The 23,868-nt window shown below is 43.1% G+C and overlaps 1 long non-coding RNA gene across 2 annotated transcripts in view, besides 1 other annotated feature; it reads left to right on the forward strand.

The window, feature by feature from the left end:
• Positions 1 to 22,943, forward strand: part of LOC105375825 (uncharacterized) — a 47,970-nt gene extending 25,027 nt beyond the window's left edge. For both annotated transcript variants that reach the window (XR_001745894.2, XR_928859.3), the window contains 3 exons: positions 1,149 to 1,257; positions 12,346 to 12,513; positions 15,865 to 22,943. This is a non-coding gene — a long non-coding RNA (uncharacterized LOC105375825). The remainder of the gene's footprint in view (positions 1 to 1,148; positions 1,258 to 12,345; positions 12,514 to 15,864) is intronic.
• Positions 13,384 to 14,355: an enhancer, noted in NCBI's record as "H3K4me1 hESC enhancer chr8:49731577-49732548 (GRCh37/hg19 assembly coordinates)". NCBI's record gives its function as "activates a minimal SCP1, AML or CMV promoter by ChIP-STARR-seq in primed H9 embryonic stem cells {active_cell/tissue: H9 hESC(primed)}" and the evidence as "EXISTENCE:reporter gene assay evidence [ECO:0000049][PMID:30033119]".
• Positions 22,944 to 23,868: the final 925 nt, after the last annotated feature.

Below are 23,868 nucleotides of genomic sequence, written 5' to 3' on the forward strand. Positions count from 1 at the left end.
CGGCCACAGCCAGCAGGCTCTGTGTCTCACAACCCGAGACTCGCCTCCCCTAATCAAGAGGCACCAGCAGACCCACACAAATAAGTTGAACTGAGTTTCTAATAGTCTTAATTTTTCACAGCAGTTTCAGGTTCACAGGAGAATTGAGATGAAGGCACAGAGTTCCCATATATGCCCTGTCTCCTGGCATGCACAGCCTTCTCCACTATCAGCCTCACCCACCAGAGTGGAGCATCTGTTACAATTGAGGGACCTCCACTGACACATCATCATCACCCGGAGTCCATTGTTTACATTAGGGTTCCCTCTCGGTGTTGTATATTGGACAAATGTATGATGATATAGATCTGTCATTACAGTGTCATATAGAGTAGTTTTGTTTTAAAATCCCCTGTGCTTCACCTATTTATTCCTCCCTTCCCCCTAACCCCTGGCAACTGCTGATTTTTTTGCTAGCTCCAGTTTTAACTTTTGCAGAATGTCGTATAGCTGGCATCATACAGTATGTAGACTTTCAAGATTGTCTTATTTCACTTAGTGTTCCGCATTTAAGTTTCCTCCGTCTTTTCATGGCTTGATAGCTCATTTCTTTTTAACATGGAATGGTATTTTATTGTTTGTACCACAGCTTATGCATCCATCCACCTACTGAAGGACATCTTGGTTGTTTCCAGGTTTGGCAATTATGAATAAACTGTTATAAACATCCATGTGAGGATTTTTGTGTTAACGTATTTTTTAACTCCTTTGGGTGAATATCAAAGGGTTAGTCCTCGTTTATTGTTATTTTTTTTATTTTTGAGACGGAGTCTCACTCTGTCACCCAGGCTGGAGTGCAGTGGCGTGATCTTGGCTCGTTGCAGCCTCCACCTCCCAGGTTTAAGCGATTCTCGTGACTCAGCCTCCCGAGTAGCTGAGATTACATGCGCCCACCACCATGCCTGGCTAATTTTTGTATTTTTAGTAGAGACAGGGTTTTGCCGTGTTGGCTAGGCTGATCTTGAACTCCCAACCTCAGGTGATCCACCCACCTCAGCCTCCCAAAATGCTGGGATTACAGGCATGAGCCACCACACCTGGCCTATTCCTGGTTTATGTGGTAAGAATATATTTAGTTTTGTCTGAAACCGCCGCTCTGTCTTCCACAGTGGCCATACCATTTTGAATTCCTGCCAGAAATGAATGAGAGTTCCTGTTGCTCCACATCCTCACCAGCGTTTGGTGCTGCCAGTGTTCTGACTTTGGGCATTCTAATAGGTGAGTAGCAGTATCTCACTGTTTTGAATTGCAGTTTCCTAATGACATATACTGTTGAACATCTTTTCACATGCTTACTTATAATCTCTATATCTTCTTTGGTGAGGTGTCATATCAGTTTTTTGCCCACTTAAAAATCAGGTTATTCATCTTATTATTGTTGAATTTTAAGTTTCTTTGTATATTTTGGATAACAGTTCTTTACTAGGTGTGTGTTTGCAAATATTTTCTCGAAGTGTGTGGACTGTGTTCTCATTCTCTTGACAGTCTTTAATAGAGCAGAAGTTTTAAATTTAATGAAGTAGAGCTTATCATTGTCTCTTTTGTAGATCATACCTTTGGTGTCGTATCTAAAAAGTCACTGCCAGAGTGAAAGTTACCTGTTTTTTTTTCTGTTATCTTCTAGAAATCTCATAGTTTTATGTTTTGCATTTAGGCCTATGCTCTATTTTGAGCTAATTTTTGTGATGAGTATAAGGTCTGTGTCTAGATTTATTATTATTTTTTGTGTGTGTGATTGTCCAGTTAATCAGCACAACTTGTTAAAGGACTATCTTTGCTCCACTGTATTGCCTTTGCTCCTTTGTCTAAGATCAGGTGACTATTTATGTGAGTCTATTTCTGGGCTTTCTCTTCTGTTCCATTTATCCATTTGTCTATTCCTTCACTAATACCACACCATCTTGATGACTGTAGCTTGACTGAAGTCTTGAAGTCGAATTGTGGTAGTCCTCTAAATTTGTTCTTCTCCTTTAACGTTGAGTTGGCTATTCAGGGTCTTTTGCCTCTCCATATAAACTATAGAATCAGTTTGTTGATATCCACAAAATAACTCGCTGGGGTTTGATTGTGATTGTATTTGGCACATCACAAAAAATAAATGTTGCCCACAAATTCTATATCCACCAAAACTTTCCTTCAAGAATGATGGGGAAATCAAGACATATTCAGAGGAAGTAAAACTGGGAGAATATGTTACCAACAGACCTATCCTAAAAGAATGGCTCTAGAAAGTTCTCTAAGTAGAAAGGGAATGATACAAGAAGAAATCTTGGGATACGAGAAAGGAAGACAAGAGCAGAGTGAGGGGAAAACATTAACAAATACTATGTAGTTTCCTTTTATCTTGAGTTTTCTAAATTAGTTTGATGTTCGAAGCAAAAAATGTAATATTGTCTGATGTAATTCTAAATTCATGTGGAGGAAATATGTAAGGCAGTAATAAGGAACAGTAAATAGAAGTACAGTGAAATAATGTTTCTATTTATCAATAAACTGGTAATATGATGACAGCAGTAAGTTGTAATATCATACAATGTAATGCAAAAAAGAACCACTAAAAAAGCTATGTAAAGAGACATACTCAAAACCACTATAGATAAATCAAAATTGATTTCTAAAAAATGTTCAAGTCACCCCCAGAAAGGCAGAAAAAAAAATAGACAAGCAAAAGATGAGAACACACAGAAAAAAAAATTAAATGTCAGCTTTAGGTTTTAACATACAATAACTGCATTATAGGTAATTGATCTAAACATATCAATTAAAAAGCTGAAATTGGCCAGTAAATTATAAAATATGACCTAAATATATATTGTATACCAAAAACTCACTTCAAATATAACAATATAGGCAGGTTAAAAATAAAATGATAGAAAGGATACATCATGAAAATATCAATCAAAAGAAATGAAAAAGTTATATTATTATTAGATAAAGCAGACTTCAAAAGCAAGAAAATTATCAGAGGCAGAGAAGGTTATTGTAATATGACAAAAAGTCAATCTGCCATGAATACCTGTCAATCTTAATTGTGTATGCACCAAACAACAGAGACATAAAAACTGTGAAGCAAAAATTGATAGAACCAAAGGGAGAAACAGGCAAATCCACGATTACAGTTTGAGATTTCACCGTCCCTTTCTCAACTAGATAGAAAATCAGCAATGATATAGAACAATTCAAAATAGGCTCTCATATGCTTGGCATGGTGGCTCACGCCTGTAATCCCAGCACTTTGAGAGGCTGAGGCAGGGTGGATCACCTGAGGTCAGGAGTTCGAGACCAGCCTGGCCAACATGGCAAAACCCCATCTCTACTAAAAATACAATAATAATAATAATAATAATAACAACAATAATAATAATTAGCCTGTCCTGGTGGCACGCACCTATAATCCCAGCTACTAGGGAGGCTAAGGCAGGAAAATCACTTGAACCTGGGAGGCAAAGGTTGTGGTGAGCTGAGATCGTGCCATTGCACTCCAGCCTGGGCAACAAGAGCAAAACGCCGTCTCAGAAAAACAAACAAACAACAACAACAAGAAAAACAGGGTCTAATCAACACTTACGGAGCAACAGCAGAACACTCATTTTTTTTTTTCTCAAGCACCCATGGAGCATTTGTCAAAATATTTTGGTGGAGAAGGAAGAGTCTAAGTAATTACAAAAATGCTGAAATGATACAGAATATTTTATAACCACAATGGAATCAAAATAGAAACAAACAACAGAATGATAATGGAAATATCTAGACACTAGAAAACTAAACAACATGCTTTTTAATAATTCATAGACCAAAAAAGTCTAAGAGAAAGTAAAAAACACATTGAACTGAGGAAAAATGAAAGTACAACGTATCAAACATTTTTGAACACAGCTAAAGCAGTGGTGAGAGGAAAATTCATACCACTAGATGCTTACATTAGATACGGAAAGGTGTTAAATTAACAACCTAAGATCCCATCTCAATGATCTAGAAAAAGAAGAGCAAAATAAACTCAAAGCAAGAAGGAGGAATATAAGAGAGGTAACAGCAGAAATTAATAAAAATTAAAACAGAAAAACCAAAAAAACCAAGTACACAAAAAGCTGGTTCTTTGAAAATATTGTAAAATTGATAAATCCTTAGCAAGACTGACAAAGAAAAAAGAAGACACAAATTCCTGAGAATGAAATAGAGACTATTACTTCAGACCCTGTAGTCATCAAAAGGATAATAAAGGAATACGCCAAACAACTCAATACACATACATTTGACAATTTCAATAATATGTAACAATTCCTTGAAGAGCACGAACTATCACAACTCAGTAGACATGAAATAGATACTTGACTAGTCCTGTGACTATTCAGGAAATTCAATTTGCAGATATAATATCTCTCAAAAAAGAAATCTCCCGGCCCATCTAGATAGCTTGAGAATTCTACCAAAATTCTACCAAAAAAAAAAAAAAGAATTAATGACAGGTTCCAAGGGAATACCTTAGAGAAGGAATGAACACTTCCAAGTTCACTTTATGAAGCTAGTACGAATGACCCTAATACCAAAAACAGACGCAGGCAGTACCAACAAAGAAAACTAAAGACCAATACCCTTGAGATAATATTATTCTGTTCACTTGAAAGATAAAGAATTGGAATCTCAGAGGATTTGCTAATATTTTGTAGAATAAGGGTTTGAATTTATAACCTCTGAATTGTTATGACTAGTAACCACCTTCCCTCCACTATGGGTTGTTTTTTCTTCCCACTTCTTATTGCTCTCCTTTCTCTAAATCTCTTCCATTTCCTTCTCCTTCTCCTTCTCCTTCTTCCGCTTCTGCTCCTGCTCCCGCTCCCACTTCTGCTTCTTCTGCTTTTTCTACTTCTTCTGCTGCTTCTTCATTTTTGAAGACAGAGTTTCACTCTTGTTGCCCAGGCTGGAGTGCAATAGTGCGATCTTGGCTCACTGTAACCTCTGCCTCCCAGGTTTAAGTGATTCTCCTGCCTCAGCCTCCTGAGTAGCTGAGATTACAGGCACACACCACTATGCCTGGCTATTTTTTTTTATTTTCAGTAGAAACTGGGTTTCACCATGTTGGTCAGGCTGGTCTCAAACTCCTGACCTCAGGTGATCTGCCCACCTCAGCCTCCCAAAGTGCTGGGATTACAGGTGTGAGCTACTGCGCCCAGCCTCTTTAAATATTCTTCTATTTACTGAATGTGAATCCTAGCATTACTACTTTGAAGATAAGCTTGGGCAAGTCACTTATTTTTCAGAACTTCAGTTTTTTTAATCTGTTAAAATGGGTAATGATAGTACTAATCTCATGAGGTTGTTGCCAAAATTAAATATACAAATACATGAAAAGTGCTTGGCAGAGTATCTGGCCACAGTGCTGAGAATTCATCATCATTATCATCATAACTACTTTTTATTAAATACACTTAGTTGGTATTTCTCAAGAGTTACTCTGGTGTTTGTCAGTGAGTCTAATGAATCTGTCTACATGAGTTCATTCCTTAATAGGATGGGAAAGCCTGTGATTCCCGTAGATGTTGTTTGGTGGTAGAGGGAAAACGTTTCAGATCCTAGGTGTAGCTATGGCCCGAGGAATCTATCCAGTGTTTTGGGGCTTTGTGGATTAACGAGGTGCGTGGGTGCACTTTTGGGTTACTGTGCTGGAGTAGATTCCTCCCTAAGGCATTCCCTGGGAACCTGACTTTTAAACATTTTACTGGCCTGAAGCTAATGTGGTATGTGGAAAAGAGAAGAGAAAAGAAGAAGGTGGAGGAAGAAAGGGAGGCAAAAGAGAAAGAAATTGGAGGCAAATGTGTATTTAAAACCTTAGAGAGAGTGCATTCAATTTGGGATAAAATCCAGACATCAGCTAAAGTTGAAGAGACCTAAAATAAAAATTATAGCTTTAATTCAGGCTATGGAGCATCATGCAAGTGAAAGGCATTTGTCAGTTGGAATATAATGAAGCTGAACTGTTGGATAGAATCAATTTGGTTTGAGCTTTTGGTTAGTGAATGGGTCTGTCTTTGCTTTAAACATTTTAGCATTCCTTATTCTCATCAGTAGTAAAATCTTTCAAAACATGATTCCTTAAGGCAAATGTCTGGAGCTTAATTGAGTCATATTATTTCAACTCTTCCATTGTCTTTGATTGTATGAGATGGAATACATTCTCCTTTCTATGTTAGAGAAGCAGGAAATGTAATGGCTGAAGCTTTTTAATTTCATAGAAAGGTATATTTCTGGTTTAATGTTGTGTGATGTAACAGAAAGGGGACTGAATACGCAGCTCTGCAGGTCTTAGGGTGAGTCACTTCACTTCCCTGAGCCTCAGATTGTCCAGTGTGGAATGGGGATGGCAACAGTTGTCCGTCTGTGCCCAGGCTTTGTGTTGTGCAGATGTTATCAAATGGGATGTACATGAGAACGTGCTTTGTAAATTGTTCAGCAATTTACATTGTTGTTCTGATCATTAGATAGAGACAATGTTGAATATTGAATACAAGTAACGAAATATATTTTGCCATTTGTTTTCAATTTCACCTCTATATTGCTGAAGGTTACACTATTTTTTCTTGTTGAAGAGAACTGAAACCATTATTTTCTCCTATATATGGCTAGGGAGTTAGATATGACAGTTGTCCCAATTATCTTTATTTTTGTTTTATTTATTTTCTTTTGATTTTATTTATTTATTTACTATTTTTTTTTTACTATAGAGACAGGGTTTCTCCATGTTTGCCAGGCTGGTCTCGAACTCTTGGGCTCAAGTGATCCGTCCATCTCAGCCTCCCGAGGTGCTGGGATTACTGGTGTGAGCTGCTGCACCTGGCCTCCCAATTATCTTTATGTATTTAGTATGTTTCAGATATAATTTTTAGCTCTAATTTTACATCTTTAGAAAGTGTTTTCAGACTAGCATTTCTTCAGTTCCAAATATTTACATAAGATACTTCTACTTCAGTCCTGTTGAAATTGTGTGTGTGTGTTTGCATATACACACATGCACACGAGTGGAGAATCCTTTGAGTTCCATAGATTGCAACTAGGATTCAGGGTTGAGACCACACCAGGTCTGTATTACCTGGGCAAAATGGACTGCTGGCCCTGACAATGGAAAGACTGGCTTTTAAAAAGAGGAACTTCAAAAAACAGATATTCCCCTTTACTCAAATCATGTGGAATAGTATTATTAGGTGAGGGGTAAATGGAAAGAGATTGCAGAACTAGTGTACTTACAGAGTCTGGCTAGAAAAAGACCTATTTAGGTCATATTTATGTGAAGTTAAATCAGCTCATCCCCTACAAACTCATCTAGCAACACACACACACACACACACACACACACACAATTTTTCCTTCTAACAAATGTTTGTGTTCCTTAAGGTTTCTTATCAAATAACTCATCTTTCTAGACTTTGTAATTATTAATTTGTATCAGCTACAATGGATTGGATTCCTGCAACAGATTGTCTCTTCATGGTAAGGTTGAATCAGGATGGTTTCATAAGTATGATGTGCTGTACAATGACAAGGACATTCTAATTTTCATTAAAAACAATCAAATTTTATTATTGTAGGCTTGTTATAATTTTCAATTTATTATTTTATTATCAATTATTGAAATATGAGGAGAAGCAAAGTTGAAGAAAATATTTCTTCTTTTGAAATGTAGTCTAGCATGAGTGTTGTAATGGAAAGAACCATTTTCAAGAACTGCCTCCCCATCAACCAACTGTGTAACTTACTGCAAGTCATCTGACTCTGTGAGTTTCAAACAGTGGCTGCTGGAATGCATAGTAGGCTTGCCATGATGATGGAAGGGGACACACAACAGTCATGATTGTTATTACTATTGCTACCACTGTGAGATTTAAAATAATTTTTTTTTTACCTATTTGTACCATAGCAACTAATGTCAGTAAAAAATCTTATTTCATATGTTTCCTTTGTTGATATTACTGACCTTGATGTTTCGGCATTTTGACCTAATTCATCTGTGCTTTTACCTGATTTTATTCTAGCTTTTAGATTTGTAATTTTCATTTTAGGTATAGCTTGCATATTCTTGATCTTTTCAGCGTAACTGTGTATTTAATTGCTATCTTATTGGAAACAGAAAAATCACCTGGGGAATGGTAAAGTGTATTGGTCAAACAGTTCAGAGACTAACTTCCTACTGCATTACTCTGGTATAATTTCATATTTTCTCAAGACATAAAATACTTCCATTTTATAGACTATTAAAAAGAGAAAATATGCTTCCTACTCAGCCAGTTTCACTCACTCTTGTGTAGGCTATGGCTTGCAGCCATGTCAAGCTGTCCATCACTTTTCTGTGAATGTTCACAGGTGGAAATTGAGATTTGTCTGCATTTGGGAGAAATTCATCAGATCCATCAAGGGGCCAGGAGCAAGTAGGGGAGGTGAGGATCTGATATCCCCTGTTTTTATTAGGGAATGTGGTTTCTTATGATGCCTAATGATACATGTCCATCTTGAACCAATTTCAATTTTGCTATTTGTGTAAAAGAAGAAAAATAACTATGACAAGTCCATAAGACTAACAAAAATGAGATTGTGAGCTTTGGCAGAAATGTGGGTTTATTTTTTCCTTTAACCCCAGTCTAAGGGAATGACGAAGAATGCAGTATACCACTTCCATAGAGGAATTGTAACCAGTCAGCTGCTAGTTTGAAAGAGTTGAGTAAGTTTGACATGTTTATGGAGAGTGATATGCCTCCCTGAGACAGTTCCTCAATGAGTGAGTCAAAGTAAACACCCTACACCTAGAACCTGGCACTTATTGGCAGCTGATGCATAATTTGTTCCGTGAATGATGCTTATGTACTGAGTGTTCGAAGCTGGGGGTACAAAGGTGAAGGAAAGTTAGTCCCTTCTTGTGCGACTTAAGAAAAATACAACTAACCAGAGTGGAGGTAGAATACAGGGGCCGCAGTCATGCTGATCATCTCCAAGAACCTTGTACATTTATGAGAAATGTGATGCTGAGAGTTGAATTAGTGAGCAATGGTTTGAGATCTTCACATTTTGTAACCCTAGATTTCTAACATGGAATGGTGTTGTGGCAGGCACTGTTGATTGGTCAACTCAGCCCATTTGGAAGTTCTTCTCCTTAGACACTGTCCGTAGATACTGCTTCCAGAAAACCTGTGGTTTCCTGAGGAAAAAAAGAGCAGATTGGCTGCATGGCCCATAACCCTCTCCCCAGTTCCCTTTGCCCTTTTACTTGCTGGAATGAGGAAGTGCCTGGGGGTGCAGAAATCCTCTTCATACCATAGAAAAAAAGGTCAATATATTCATGATAGCAGAGAAGAGAAAACAGAAAGAGTGATATTTTGATGGCATTGTTGGAGCAGCCCAAACCTAGATGATTTTGTGTGAGAAAGAAATTCATATTGGATTAAGCCACCCTTCCTTGGTGTTCTCTTCCTTGCAGCTGAACACACTCTGAATGGGCACGGAGGCCCTGCACAATAGTCCTTGCCTTCATGTTCATTTCACTCTTCCTGCACTCCATTCTGCAGGGTGAGGCTGTGCAGGACTCTGTTCCCAGTGTGGACTATGTCATCTGTGCAGGGACCCTGCCCAGTGGTGCCTGGTGGCCCTGATAGTGATGCTGGTCTTTTTTTGTGCTTGTCTCTGTCTTTACATGAAGACAGAGTCTAAGTCTGCACAATGCTTCTCTATCTGGAATGCTTTCTTACTTCCCACCCCACCCCCTCCTGGCCTGGTCAACACCTCCTCCTCCCCTTCTAGTCTCAGTTTAAATGTCATTGTTCAGGGAAGCCATCCCCAGACCTCCAAGCCAAGTGAGGAACCTGTGGTTTACACTTTCACAACACCCTTATTTTCCTCAAAACACTCATCACAGGTGTAAATAAATAAATCTCTGGGTCATTAAAAAAGTTATGTTGCCGGGTACGGTGGCTCACACCCGTAATCCCAGCACTTTGGGAGGCTGAGGTGGATGGATCACTTGAGGCCAGGAGTTAGAGACCAGCCTGACCAACATGGTGAAACCCTGTCTCTACTAAAAATACAAAAATCAGCTGGGCCCACGTGGTGGCACGTGCCTGTAATCCCAGCTACTCAGGAGGCTGAGGCAGGAGAATTGCTTGAACCTGGGAGGTGGAGGTTGCAGTGAGCCGAGATCGTGCCACTGCGCTCCAGCCTGGGCGTCAGAGCAAGAATTTGTCTCAAAAAATAAGTAAATAAAATAAAAAAAGTGATGTTTTCCCTTCTGCTTGATTACAAGAGACCAGGCCCCTGTCATTTTGTTCACTGGGTTTGTGCCCATACCTGGCAAAGTGCATGGCATGTGATAGGAATGTGACAAATATTTGTTGAATGAATACACAAAAGAAGGAATGGAATAATTTATTTGTAATAAGATCAGTTATATACTTCTGCAATGACGGAGGATTGTCGGGTAGACTAAGAGCTGGGAGACCACCATGATTCATGAAGGCTTCAGAGTTCTCAGTCTGTTCTCCAACAGGGCAGTGACCTCCCCAAGAGGAGGCCACCTGGGTGTGTCCAGACAGCATGGCTCTGGCCAGCAGGAGAGGAGCTGCGATGGTCACAACACGGGTGGCCACTGCGTTCTCATGAGCTGCGTTGCTTCCCCCTTCTTTGCTGTTGCTTCCTTTCCAAAGACAAGTTACAGAGAGCCCTTCCAAGAGCTGGGAGAGCTTGTGGGCTCCGACAGCCTGGAGAGGAGAGCTTCAGGGCTGCTCAGCCCTGACTAGCACGATTTATCAGCATAGCACTATTTGTTTTAACCTTTAGGGGAAAATGGGATATGATGAGACCTAAAGAAACATCATTTCCCAAAGGTGGATTTCATTTCTTTAACCGTTTATAAGTCTCAAACAATAAAATATGACTATTTGGGGACTGGTATTATATTTCAATGACTTTTCCAGCTGTTGTGCTATTGCACACATTCCGGAGCCTTCTCTCCTCCAGCTGAAAGCCGACTGCTCACTCACAGCAGCGGCAACACAACCACCTCCGGCTGTTCGGGGCGTGCGGCCTGCACACAGTGACACATTCACACACCGGGCGAGGGTCGGGCCTGCTGCCTGGGTGTGAGGAAAACCAGTCATGTTCTCTCTGTTCTTGAGATTGATTACCCTGGGCTTCTGCAAGCCCATTAAAGTAAGTCAAAGGGTGACTCTGGGCTGGGTGCTAATGTGACCACTGTTGTTGGCAGGTGCTGTGATTCTGGAGAGGCATTTGTCCACTCAGCATGTAAGGGAGAAGCCATGCTTTCCTCAGCTGTGCCTGCACTGTAACGGCCCTGTGTCTGTCACTACTGCTGGGGGCACCTGGAAGCGCCCAGACACACATTTGGGGACCACAGCAAATCCTCTGTGTCTTGCATGTGAGCCATGGGGAAGCTCGCCTTTAAGATAAAGCCATGGCGGGGCATGGTGGCTCATGCTGTAATCCCAGCACTTTGGGAGGCCGAGGTGGGCGGATCACCTGAGGTTAGGAGTTTGAGACCAGCCTGGCTAACATGGTAAAACCCTGTCTCTACTAAAAATACAAAAATGAACTGGGTGTGGTGGTGGGCACCTGTAATCCCAGCTACTCAGGAGCCTGAGGCAGGAGAATCACTTGAACCTGGGAGGCAGAGGTTGCAGTGAGCCGAGATCATGCCACTGCACTCCAGCCTGGGCATCAGAGCGAGACTCCGTCTCAAAAAAGGACCGGACACGGAGGCTTACGCCTGTAATCCCAGCACTTTGGGAGGCCAAGGCGGGTGGATCATGAGGTCAGGAGATCGAGACCATCCTGGCTAACACGGTGAAACCCCGTCTCTACTAAAAATACAAAAAATTAGCCGGGCATGGTGGCCGGTGCCTGTAGTCCCAGCTTCTTGGGAGGCTGAGGCAGGAGAATGGCGTGAACCCGGGAGGCGGAACTTGCAGTGAGCCTGAGCCGAGTTAGAGCCACTGCACTCCTGGGTGACAGAGCGAGACTCTGTCTCAAAAAAAAAAAAAAAAAGATAAAGCCATGTGTTTACTCTTTATCAAAGATGCCAAAGAGTATAGCCTCTGATTACATGGTTTTTAAAAAATTAGAGTATGGAAATAGTGCTTAGTATTATGTCAGTAAATTCAATGTTTTCATACATTTTTTTTGCTCTAAATTGGAAACGGGGGCAATCCCCTGAAATGTATGTATTTTATTTTAAAATAATCCTAGCCCCTGTATTTAATCCTTTTCCTGTCTCTCTCCTCACTCATCTTTGCTCCTTACACCTCTGCCCAGCAGGGCTTCTTTCTTCTTTTCCCCCTTCTTTTTCTTTCTCTATAGAGCATCAAGCCAGCTTCTTCCTCACCAGCCTCACCATCCGAGTTTCTCGTGGGCAGCTTCTCAGTGAACACAGGAAGGCCTAGACCCCACTCTGGGAGCTCTGAGGACCACGGTGTGCACAGGCAGGTTGGTGCCCAACACTCTACAACATTTACATACTCTTGTTTTCAGAGGACATCAAATATCCAGTAGTTTTGCATTTGGGCCTGAGCCATGACTCTGACGTTGGAGATTAGACACTGTGACAAAGGGAGAGAATTGTAGGGGGAACAGACTCCGGGTTTCTAAGCAGATGGAGTGAACAGCTGACTGAGAAGCTCAAGCCTGAAGCAGGTGGCGGATTCTCTTAGCAGCACCAAATCACCCTGTCAGGCAGCCCAGCCAGGGCAGCTCAGGAGTGGGCCACAGAGCAGGACCTGCCAGGACGTCCAGAGAGTGTGGGTGGAAGCTGCTTCCCAGTGGAGCCTGGCCAGGGGGCGACTGCCAGACAGTGAGGCGGATGAGTCAGCCCTGAAAGCGATCCTGGCCATGACCTAGTGGGAGAGGAGAGAACAGAAGGGGCAGTCAGGAACTGACAGGTGGGCTGTGCAACAGGAAGGGGTCACAGACCCAGCAGGTGGCAGGGCAGATGGAGGAGATCAAGGGATGTGTGATAGTGGGGGGGCACCCACCTGGGTGTGGGGGGTGCAGGTTGGGGTGGGTGGCTGTGGGGCAGGGAGCAGGGCACCAAACGGGGTGGTGGGTTGAGGGGACACGGGGCAGGTGGGCAGGACACCAGCCAGGGGATGCGGGGTGGGGGATGGGCAGGCGGGAGCCCTTCTGACCCCTGTGGCTGCACGTGCTGTTTGGAGCACACAGAGGCCAGAGGTGCCAAGGTGCAACCTGTTCTTTCAGGTTATTGATCTGTTTTTAAAGGAAATGGCTTGGGATGGCTGGAACAATATTCACTTTTAAATGAACAGCTTTGGACTCTTTCGTTGTGTGATCTCAAAGTGCCAAAGGGAACCAAAGAGGACCAAATTATTCCAAAGAATTATAGCAGCCCAGTTGTTAGGGATACAATGAAGCTCGGCTTCCCTTACTGAGGCGTTTTGAGTGGAATGAAATGCTTCATTTAGCATTTAATGAGATTATAGTGGCAGAGATAAACATGCTATGATAAGGTGGAAAGATCACCTGGTCAGAGCCAGATTCCTGGAGGTGATCCAAGCTCTGGGAACCTGCTGCTGAGCCGGGCAGTCACCACCCCCTGCTTGGTTCTCAAATCTGTCCAGGCAGCCTGCCGCTGGGATGTCTGCAGGGGTGCATCTGGGAAGAGGGGGTTGTTATTGGTATGTGCTCTGCTCACTCGGGGAGGGCTGGGCTCGGGCCCCGGAGCCACCCAGTCCTGAGTGTTGCTTTCCGCCTCAGCATAAGAGCCGCTTTTCTTACTGTGTGGGGAAGAGCCAGTCTAAGGAATATTCCTGCATTTGTACAGTGCCTGCCACCTGCAGTGTGCGTCCCAATTCGTGTTATTCTTCCATTTCGATGCTAACTCTGGGAGAGAGGAGGCACTGGTGTTAGTGGAGGCACTTTCCAGGTGCAGAATCTTCTGCACAGAGGGAGGCAACAAAGGCCGGCAGCTGGGAGGCTGGGCCCAGGTCAGGCCAGGATCTTGGTCCAGACCCCACTTGTCACCTGTGCGTTAGTGCGCTGGCCCTCAGGGGCTTCCCCAGCCCCTCTGCTCGCCTGATTGTGACTGGAGGGCTTTGTACCCTGGAGAGAGGAGCTATGGAGCTAGGAAGGCAGGAAAGCTGGCCCTGGACTCTGGGAGAAGAAAGGGCCAGAAAGGGGCATAGGAAAAAAGGGAATGAACATTTACCAAAAGTCTCTGTTCTTGGTGTTTTCCGTACAACGTATTTAATCCCACAAGGTCCAGTGAGTTTGTGTTAGTCCAGTTTCACACATGTGGAAACCGAGGCCTGTCACAGAGTTGGGCAGAGCTGGACTCCAGCATCAGGCCTCGCTGCTGAAAGGACTGGAGGAAACTCCAGGCCAGAGCAGAAGGTAGGCAGTTTTCAGAGGAACTCTGAGACCTTGGTGAGTAGCAGAGGCTGGAGTTGGGGATGTCAGAAATAGCAACTAGCAACCAGAGACATCCAGGGAGCTCTGAGCATAGGCACAGAGGACGTGCAGGCACTGCAGGGCGTGGCATGAGGACACAGCCCCAGGGCTCAGCCAAGGTGGAGAGCAGCACAGGGGCCTGGCAGGGAGGAGCACTAACGGATTAGTGCCAGTCCTGGGATGGCTTCTTCCCCAGGACTCTAGGCAGTGCTTCTCTATCTTAGGCCTTTCTTTCGAATTCAAGTTTGCATTTTAAATGAAAACAGAGGCAATCTCCTTCAAAATATACTCTTAAAGATGATTGTACTTTTGAGGCAGTATCCTTTTAGTATATTCTGTACACTGAATCTGTTTTGGTTTTGCTTGACTTATTGGTGGTGAATTAGTTAAACAAAGGGAAGGAGTATCCATTTCCTTCTTTTCTTGCACAAGGCAGGGGTTTATATTCAGGAAGTAGAACTTGAATCATGAAGTTTTGCATGACTTGATCCAAGTCATTATTATAATTAGTTTTGTGGAATATTAAAGAAGGCGAGAGAAAGACAGCGGGAAGAGGAGAGTGCAGCCTTTGAAAAGCTGTGCCCCCGATAGATGTGGAGTCTTGAGTTGCACTTTGCACCGTGGTCTGGACCTCAAGGTGTCATTTTTGTCGCTGAGCCACACTGAAAGTGTCATGAAAATGGTTTCTTTTCTCCCCTGTGGCTCCTGGCCAGTCACCTGGTTGTTTATTATGTGTTCTACCATGATCATTAATGTTTGAAAAGCAGTTTTTCAACTTAGGACTCCTTGTCAATAAGTTCGTGGAAGGGGATTTGATGGAATGCATCTTAGTTTGTGTTTTGAAGGTCCCCACCCTCTTCTGTCGCTTCTGCTCCAGGTAGATTTCCTTTCCTAAAGTCTGCCTCTCCCTGTCTCCTCTTCTGGGTCTTCAGAGCCCTGCACTTCTCAACAATGTATCTTTGTTTTCTGGGTCTTACAAAGCACAGTGGCAGAATGTTCAAGAGACAATTCAAAGAAAAAGATGCCAGTAAAAATGGGAGGCGATTATTAGAAGGGACACCTAGAAACCTACCCTATGAGAGGTCATGGCAATTGCAGCATGACAGAGGAGGAAAGGTCTTAAGGTTTTGTCCTGGTGCAAACGGAAGCTGTCTGGGCTGAGAGATTCGCTTGAGCCCTTCCAGGCCATCTGTTCAAACTTGCACAAGGGTGGGGGAGGGGGGATGACTTGGTCAACCATCTCATTTGTTTCTACCATCATCTCCATGTCCATCTTTAATTATAAGAGAGTAAATCTTAAAAGTTGAAAAGGTATATTAAGTAACTATTGTTGTGGGGAAAATCCTACTTCTAATGTTTTATATTTTTTTTCAGAAGCTTGATTGTAAAGAGTGTTAACTCTTCAAGGAAAAAAAATTAAAAATATTTTTTAAAGAAAATGAAGGCCCAGATGGAAGAGGCCCCCACCTGTAACGCCAAGGTGAGCTCATCCCCAGGTACCACAATGACCTGAGGTGCTTGTAAAAGATGCCGCTCTCTTGGTGCTTGGCTAGGAGCAAGCTATGGCATGGAGAACAGGGATAGACCCACCTGAAAATCTGGACCTGCTTCTTCGTGGATGAAGGAATGTGCACCCAGGAGGCCAGGACCCCTGGTCACCTGCATGAAAGGTTTGAGGTGGTGCCGCACATTCCAGAAGGTGATGTGGTCTCAGATGATGCCCATGGGCACTGTCAGGGTGGGTCCAGGACTGCAGCTGCCTGGGCTGTTTATTCTGCAGGCAGACATGCCCTGGGGGCCAGTCTGAAGAGCAGCTCAGAGAAGGTGATCAAGCTCCATTTTCAAAAACAAAACAAAAAAGTGAAGACAGACTAACACCCAGTAAACGTGATGTGATCAGGGCTGCCACTTCCAGAGCACCCTGAGAGTCAAGACCAAAGATCACCAGCAGCCTCTGATTTGAACTTCAGATTGGATCTGGAGGCTAAGCATTCTCAGCCTGCTCTAAAGCTGGACAGGCTTCCTGACACCAGAGCTGGCTGCTGGACCTGAGGATGCACCACAGGAGGCTGAGCCTCCTCCCACAGCGGGGAGATGGTGCCCAGGTGAAAGACACGTGTCCTGAGAGAAACCCCTCGGCCCATCACTCATCACAGAGGGGCCGGGGAACAGCTCCTACTTTTCTCTCAAGCAGTGATAACATGTGATTTCCCAGGTCAATCTTGATTTCAGAAATGTTAAAAATAAATGGGCCTGGAAGACTTGTAATTTGAGAATAAGACTTGAAAACAAGTGAAAAGCAGTGAGAACAGATTTTGGTGCCTCCTAGACTTTTCTCATTGGCTGCGCACATTTAGCCTTGAAAGTAAGTAAGCTTATATAGCTGGTGTTCTTCAATCATTTCACATGAAATTGTTAGGTATGTTTTGTATAAAAATGCATGTGAAAGATATTGTGACAAAGGAAAACAAGCCTACTTGAGGATTCTTAAGAAAAGAAAAAGGGTCATTACTGAGATGTCTGTGGTCTCGAAAAGTGACTATATCCTCTTGCCTGAGGCTGAGACAAGACATGTCGGGTGGTCCCACTGCATCCGCCTCACCCACCCTCTGGTGAACCAGGCGGGGAAGTCCTCCTCCTGCAGTGGATGCACACAGACTCTCCTCACAGCTCAGAGAAAAGGCTGCTTCTGCCCACATGTGGCTTGGCAATCCAGGGCACCTGCCTGGGGAATAAAAAGTCATCCTGGGAGGTGCTTCCATGGTGGCCTCTGGCAGAATGACACCTTCTCAGGTACAGGACTCCACATCCCCTTTCTGAGCCACTGGCTGAGTTGGGCGCTCTTGTATGAGTGGGGAATAGAAGCAAAGATGTTGCTAACACCCTGCTTTGAAAGATGCTTCCTATTTAGACTGATCTCAGGTCTATCTGAGGCTCGAGGCACCGTAAGTCAAGAGGAGACAATGCCACATGCTGAACCAGGGTCAGGCAGGTACATGCACGCATTGCAAGGCTGTGAGGGAATCCTTGAGGGAGATGAGAGGATGGAAGCTAGGGGTCAAAAGAGGATGCACCAACGTGAAGGGAAATGTTGACTGGGACCCACAGCATCAAGACAAACACATGAGCAGGCTGGAGAGGAGCCCCAGGTGAAGCTTATTCTGGGAAAAGAGAATATAAGGGGTGACTTTTACTAAAGATTCAGCTCTGAACAGAACCCAGATATCATAGGGTTGCTTGTCATGCATCTACATCTCCAACAAGACATGCTAGAAGTGATGGGAGCTTGTTACACTCAGACGTGTGACCTGGAGACTCTGAGTTCTAATTCTATTCCTTTGAGGCCTGCAGACATGTCTTTGTCTTGTCTCCTAATCTCCTTTCTGTTTAGGAAAAGACAGAACACCAGAGCCACTGTCAAAATGGTGAGGATGGGATCTTGTTTTGTGGATTCCACCATAATGCTAACATAGCCCAGACTGTTGCTTTCTGTCTCCGGTTCCATGACTTCTTAATGACAAACTTGTTAAAATATGGTTTTATTTCCAAAATTTAAATGCAGGTGGGACACAATACTTCTTAAATACTGTTTCTACCATCTATTCCTCCTCTTGTCCTTTTGCTTCCACTAATATCTAGGAATAGCAAAAGCATAACTACATGAGAAGTGATGCTTGGCTTAACTGCATGTGGGAGAGGAGGAACTGGAAAAGAAAGAGAGCGTTCCATTAAGAGAGGACAAAACAACACACACAGAGAAAGACAGGGACAAGAGACAGCAACAGTGGAAACATCATTCTTCATATCTTCACACTTTTCAACACTGGCTTCCTCAGCCTATGAGGTATCACACCATTTACAGAGAATAAAGGGAGGTCTAGAATTGCCGAGGTTTGCCAAAGTTCACACAGTTCGACAGTCATTGAATGCAAGACCCAGACATGCAAGCTCCTGCTGTCAACAGGGGGAAAGGAAGGGTGGAATCAGATCAGATTCCCTCCTCTACCACAGTGTATACAGTTGTAACAGGGAGGCCTGCTTCCACAGGGAGCCAACTTCACTCGCACATCTCGCACATCTCAGCCATCCTCTCCCTTCTCTTGCCTTCTCTATTCTTCATCTGTAGCTCCTTTCCTGCAGCTGCTAGAGACACCATCATGTGCAATTGCAAGCCTGGCTACTGAAGTGCAGGAGTGGCCACTGTGCCCGGAACAGCATGCCTCAGTGGGGGATATGGTCAGAATGGACACGGAGGCCACACTGCAGGAGGCCTTGGGCATGACTGTAAGGGACTGGGTCTTGATTCCGCATGAATGAGGTGGCGCTGGAGAACTCTCTGCAGAGAAGTGTCATTATGCAACATTCTTTTTAATTTTTAAAATTTTCCTTTTGGATTAATTTCAGATTTACAGAAAAGTTACAACACAAAGTATGGAAAATTACTATAAACCCTTCACTTGACTTCCTCTAATGTGCATATTTTACATAAGCACAGTACATTTTTCAAAACTAAGAAATTAACATTGGTTATGACTGACTCATCTACAGATGTTATTGAGATTTCACTAGTTATTTCAGTAGTGTCTCTTTTTTGTTCTCTTGTCTATTTGAAATATCACATTGTATTCAGTGCCATGTGTTTTCAGCAGGGTCACTGAAGCTGCTCTGTGGGTGGAGGGAGACATTTATGGGCTTTAGGAATAGACTTAACCAAAGACAATGTTGGTTTGGCCCAAAGCGGGAGCTTGGGCCAAGGATTCTGGATACATTTTGAAGATGAGACAGCAGCACTGGGGAGAGAGAGGAGTTAAGTGTGTGTGTGGCCTGAGCACCTAGCAGAATGGAGCTGCCATTTACAGAGATGGGGAAGACCAAGAGGAGCAGGTTTGTAAGCAGTGCCAGGCACTCAGGTTGGGGGTTGGGGGAGGTTTGGGACACGCTGCCTGCTAAACATTGAGTCTGGCAAAAGCTGCACACAGATGGAGAGCCTTGGCCTTGGGTGAATCCAGCCTTTGCAGACCCATCCAGCTGATACTGACCCATGTATGCCATGTGCCATGGCCTTCCTTGGATTTACCACTCTTCATTTAATATGGCTTCACCAGCAAGTGACAGGAGTTGCTTTACACAAACTGGCTTGACCAAGAAATGCCCTCACCTCACATAATGGGAACTGGAGAGACTGGACAGCATTCCCGGGTGCCCACAGGTCATTTCCTATTGCCCAATCTGCTGCCTCAGTGTTGCTACCTGGCAGGTGGAGCTGGTCAGTTTGCAGGGGCAGATGGCTTCTGGCAGCAGTCAGGGCACAGCCTTTTCTTCACTTCAGAGTGGGGTGGGAGGGACAGGCGAGTCCCCATGGTGTCCTCCCCAGGCCGGCTTTCAGCCGGGATGAGTCTGACCCCTGGGCACACTTGGCCTTGCTGGGAGACATTTGGGTTGTCACAACTGATCATGGAAAACATTGTGGGATGCTGCTAAACATCCTCCTGTGCATCGGACAGCCTGACAACTGACCAGAGATGAGGTGCACCCACCTCTTGACAGGCTTTCCTGGTACTGTGAACACTTGGGTGTCAGTGGTCCCCAGACTGGCTGGGCTGAGCTTCCCAGGCCTGCTCTTTATTCTGCCCTAAGATTGGTCCCTGTACAAGTGCTATGTCCACGTCCACTTCCAAGGCAGTGGAAAGATGCCCTCAGATCTATCAGAGAAAAAAAGTGTGTATCTGTGTTTTGAAGCTTCACATTCCTTTTAGTTTCTACTCTGGAAAGTGCGAGAAAAAGAAGGTGATCTTCAGTTCTGAGGGTATCTGTGGAAGTCCCCACACTGATTCTTTCCTAGGGACCCAATCATAACCCTCCAGGCTTACTTTGGACTCAATCTTACTGTGAGTTCTTCCAAAGTAGGAAGCCAGCATTGTTTACCTTTGTGCCCTGGTGCCCAGGAACGTGTTTGGCATGTGATGGGCAGCTAGGTTGTTGAACTGACTTTCACTTCTGCAGTATGGTTTATGTGGCATGATGCCTGCAGTGTTTCATTTCTGAGCAATATTGGAATCCAAGGCCTAGCCCATTGGTGGGCACACCATGGATACATGAGAGTGACTGCTGACTGTTATGTCCAAATGCCTTTGGATGGAAGCCCATATTGGCCTGAGTCACCTGAACAGCTCATCTGAGTCTCCACATCTGCAAAATATTCACATACATTCGGGACCATATGCCCTTGTTGGGTCATTTTAATCTTTGTTTTAACTTTCTTATTATTAACTTTATTTTCTGCTTCACTGCAGGCATAGCAGTCCTACACCCATCCAAAATGAAGGAAACTGTTCTGGAAACATTTTTACCTTGGTTTCTCCTAAAGCAAGTTGGATCTCTGTGATGCTATCTTGCATGCTGCTGAAGTCATTTTCCAGTGGTGTAATTTTCCTGTTAACTTAAAAAGAGAAGCTCAGCATTACATGTCCCTCTGGGCTTCAGACATCTGTTCCTTCCTCCCATGTCCAGAAATATTAGACAATTTCTCTCCAGCATCAAGAGAAACAAAGTGATGGGAGCTTATTTCAATTTTGAGAGAATCTGAGTTTGTAGGACTAACACAATGATCAATACCAGTTTGACAGTGGAAGGGTGTTAACATTTATTTCTTTTTTTTTTTTTAAGGATTTTATGAATCTTTTGTCTCTCATTTCTTAAGAATTCTAACTACACTGCTTGATATCATACAATAATAATTTTTCTGAAAACTGAGAACAGAGATTCTGTTTAGTTAAAACTTCCAAATCAGTTGTAAATGTGGGTATAGTCTGAATCATAATCAATGCAATTCAAAGACAGAAGAGAAGGATGTCAGAGGATACAGTGGGCAACAGGGAAGACTTCAGGAGACTTCAGGTGGATCTCCGTATTTCATGAACAAATCCCAGATTTCCAAGAAATAGGAAGACGATTGTCCTGAGGTTTACAGATCTCTTCCTCCCCCACCTCTCTCTCCTTTTTAAAAAGTAGTTGAAAAAGACTTGAGGTGACTCTAAATACTTTTATTTGTTAGCTTACAGTTGTAAAGAAGTTGAACAGCATTTGTTAAGGTGGCGGGGACTGTACAGGAAGGGAGGGTGTGCAGAAGGACGGTGATCATGGGCAGCAGCACCAAGCTCCAGAGGAAAAGAAACAGGCAGAACTGCTTAAAATCCCTACAAGGAAAAAAATCATGCATATCTCAGGGTACACAGGACAAGCATTGTCATTAGCTCATTCCGCAACAAATGTCACTTCTTGTGTGATTCCATTTCCATTGCTCCATTTTTGTTCAAAGTTGAAAAAATCTGGTGTCCCTAAGCACGAAATGGAGTAGGCTTGCAACTCTGTGGATCTTATGATAATGACACTGGTCCTTCTCCTTCCTTTGACTGTAAAGAACACTGACACATTATTAGGATTTTATTGGTACCTGTGAGCCTGACGGGACAGCAAAGACAGGGAAGGAGTTCCTGACACACAAGATATCACACACACATGCTCACCGGAAATTCTTTAAAAGGGGCTTTGATTTAAACATTACAATTGCGATTTAAAGTGCAATAACACAGGAATATTTTTCTAAGAGACTCAGTTAAGTGTATGCTAAATTAATTGGATAAAATATAAAATTCTGAGTGCAGGTATTTATTTAAAATTCCCAGTGCTAAAAGTTTTGGGGTGATATTGCGAAGACACAGTGAAACATGGTGTAATTTCTCTCAGTAAAGGAATTTGGGTTCCAACCAAAGGAGACAGGAATGCATGCAGGCAGTGATTAGACACTGGGAGGAGAGGCAGCACTCAGTGTGGTCGGAGGCGAAGTGGAGGCAGGCTCAGGGCTGCAAATGGGACTGCTGGTATTCTAGAGACAGCTGCTTACTTTCTAGTTCAGCTGTCTAAAAACCTGTCCTGGGCCTGGAAGCAGGGTGCATCTGGAGTAAAGGCTGCTTTAGAGTTTAGCTCCCACAGCAAGGTGGCATCATTGTAGATCTTGACACAGGTAGCTCCTGGGGCCACTTTTAAGTTCCCTTCTGATGTGTTGTCCTTTTTGGGACAGGTGAATAGAGCAATCAGAATTGCTGCAAATGAAGACATTGCCCCTGAGTTGAATGAGAGATCTATTCACTTCAATCACTGTCATTTTCCTTAATAATGAAGACACTAAGTTATGACAAATGTCTCCATTACCTACATCTATGGGAAATTAACTGATAGAGCTTGGTACAATAAACAGAAAATTGATGAGAAAAAATTGGGGAGAAAATTTAACAGCCAGGCCCAAAACTGAAGAAATATCTCCCACAGACTGTGGTTCTGTTCTGTGCAAATATTGTAGACTTTTACATATTTTGGTTGATAAAATATGCTGAATGAGACGCCCTCACATTTGGGTAAACCAACTACATTATACAAATAAAGTTTTGGAAGTATCTTTGTGCACTGTGACTAATAATAGGAAAAGAAAAATGGGGGTTGAAAAGAAATACTCTGATTTGCCTTGAGAGTTTTTTTGGTGCTTGAAATATTTCCTCGATATTCTTCATAAGATGTTAGAAAATCTCTATGTCCAATTTAATTATATCTTGGTCTTCTTTTTTGGTTCTTGTGAGGATCTGGGTTTGGAGACCAAAGCACTCCAGGAAGGCAAGCGTGTGAATGCTTGTGAGCTCACTGTCTTCTTGCTATCTATTCCCCAACCTGTTTTATTAACCATCAGATTACAGAAACAGGAAAGCCAAAAATTCTCCAAGGGGACTCCACTTCCAATTCCAGTTCTTACTCGTTCTTCGTAGAATAGGCCTTTGCGGCCTCTTTCCTGACCAGCGTCCTCACCTGGTGCTCAGAACCTCATGTTGTCCAAAGTAGGACCCTTGACAACATTTCAAAGACCCGAGTGACTCTGGCTGTTTCTCTGAAAAGCAATAATAGAAGCCTTCCAGAAAATGGCCTTTAATAACTTGGCATAAACTCAACTCAAATAGGGACCTCTCTACCTCTTCACCAGGCTCAATACTGTTAGGGAAACTTAGCTAGTTCTGATCCAAAAAAGGAGATTGCTGAGGACAGTCCCCTTCAGCTGAGCACTTAAAACCCTGCCGTCCAGAGCCGTCCACCAAAAGGCAAAATGACTGCTCCTCCCTCAACTTCTTCCTTTAGGATATTGTGTATTTTTCTATCCTTGGTTCTTTCTGGAATAACCCTGACAAGGTGTTCCACATTTCAACTATAAATTTCATTTTGGTATTATAGACTGAAACTGTTTTTATTTTAACTGAAAAGTTTAGTGAACTAATTACAGATTTTAGCCATTCTGATAGGTGACACATCACTATGATTTTCATTTTCATTTCTCTG

The sequence above is a fragment of the Homo sapiens genome, chromosome 8 (genome assembly GCF_000001405.40).
Source record: "Homo sapiens chromosome 8, GRCh38.p14 Primary Assembly".
Taxonomy (NCBI): domain Eukaryota; kingdom Metazoa; phylum Chordata; class Mammalia; order Primates; family Hominidae; genus Homo; species Homo sapiens.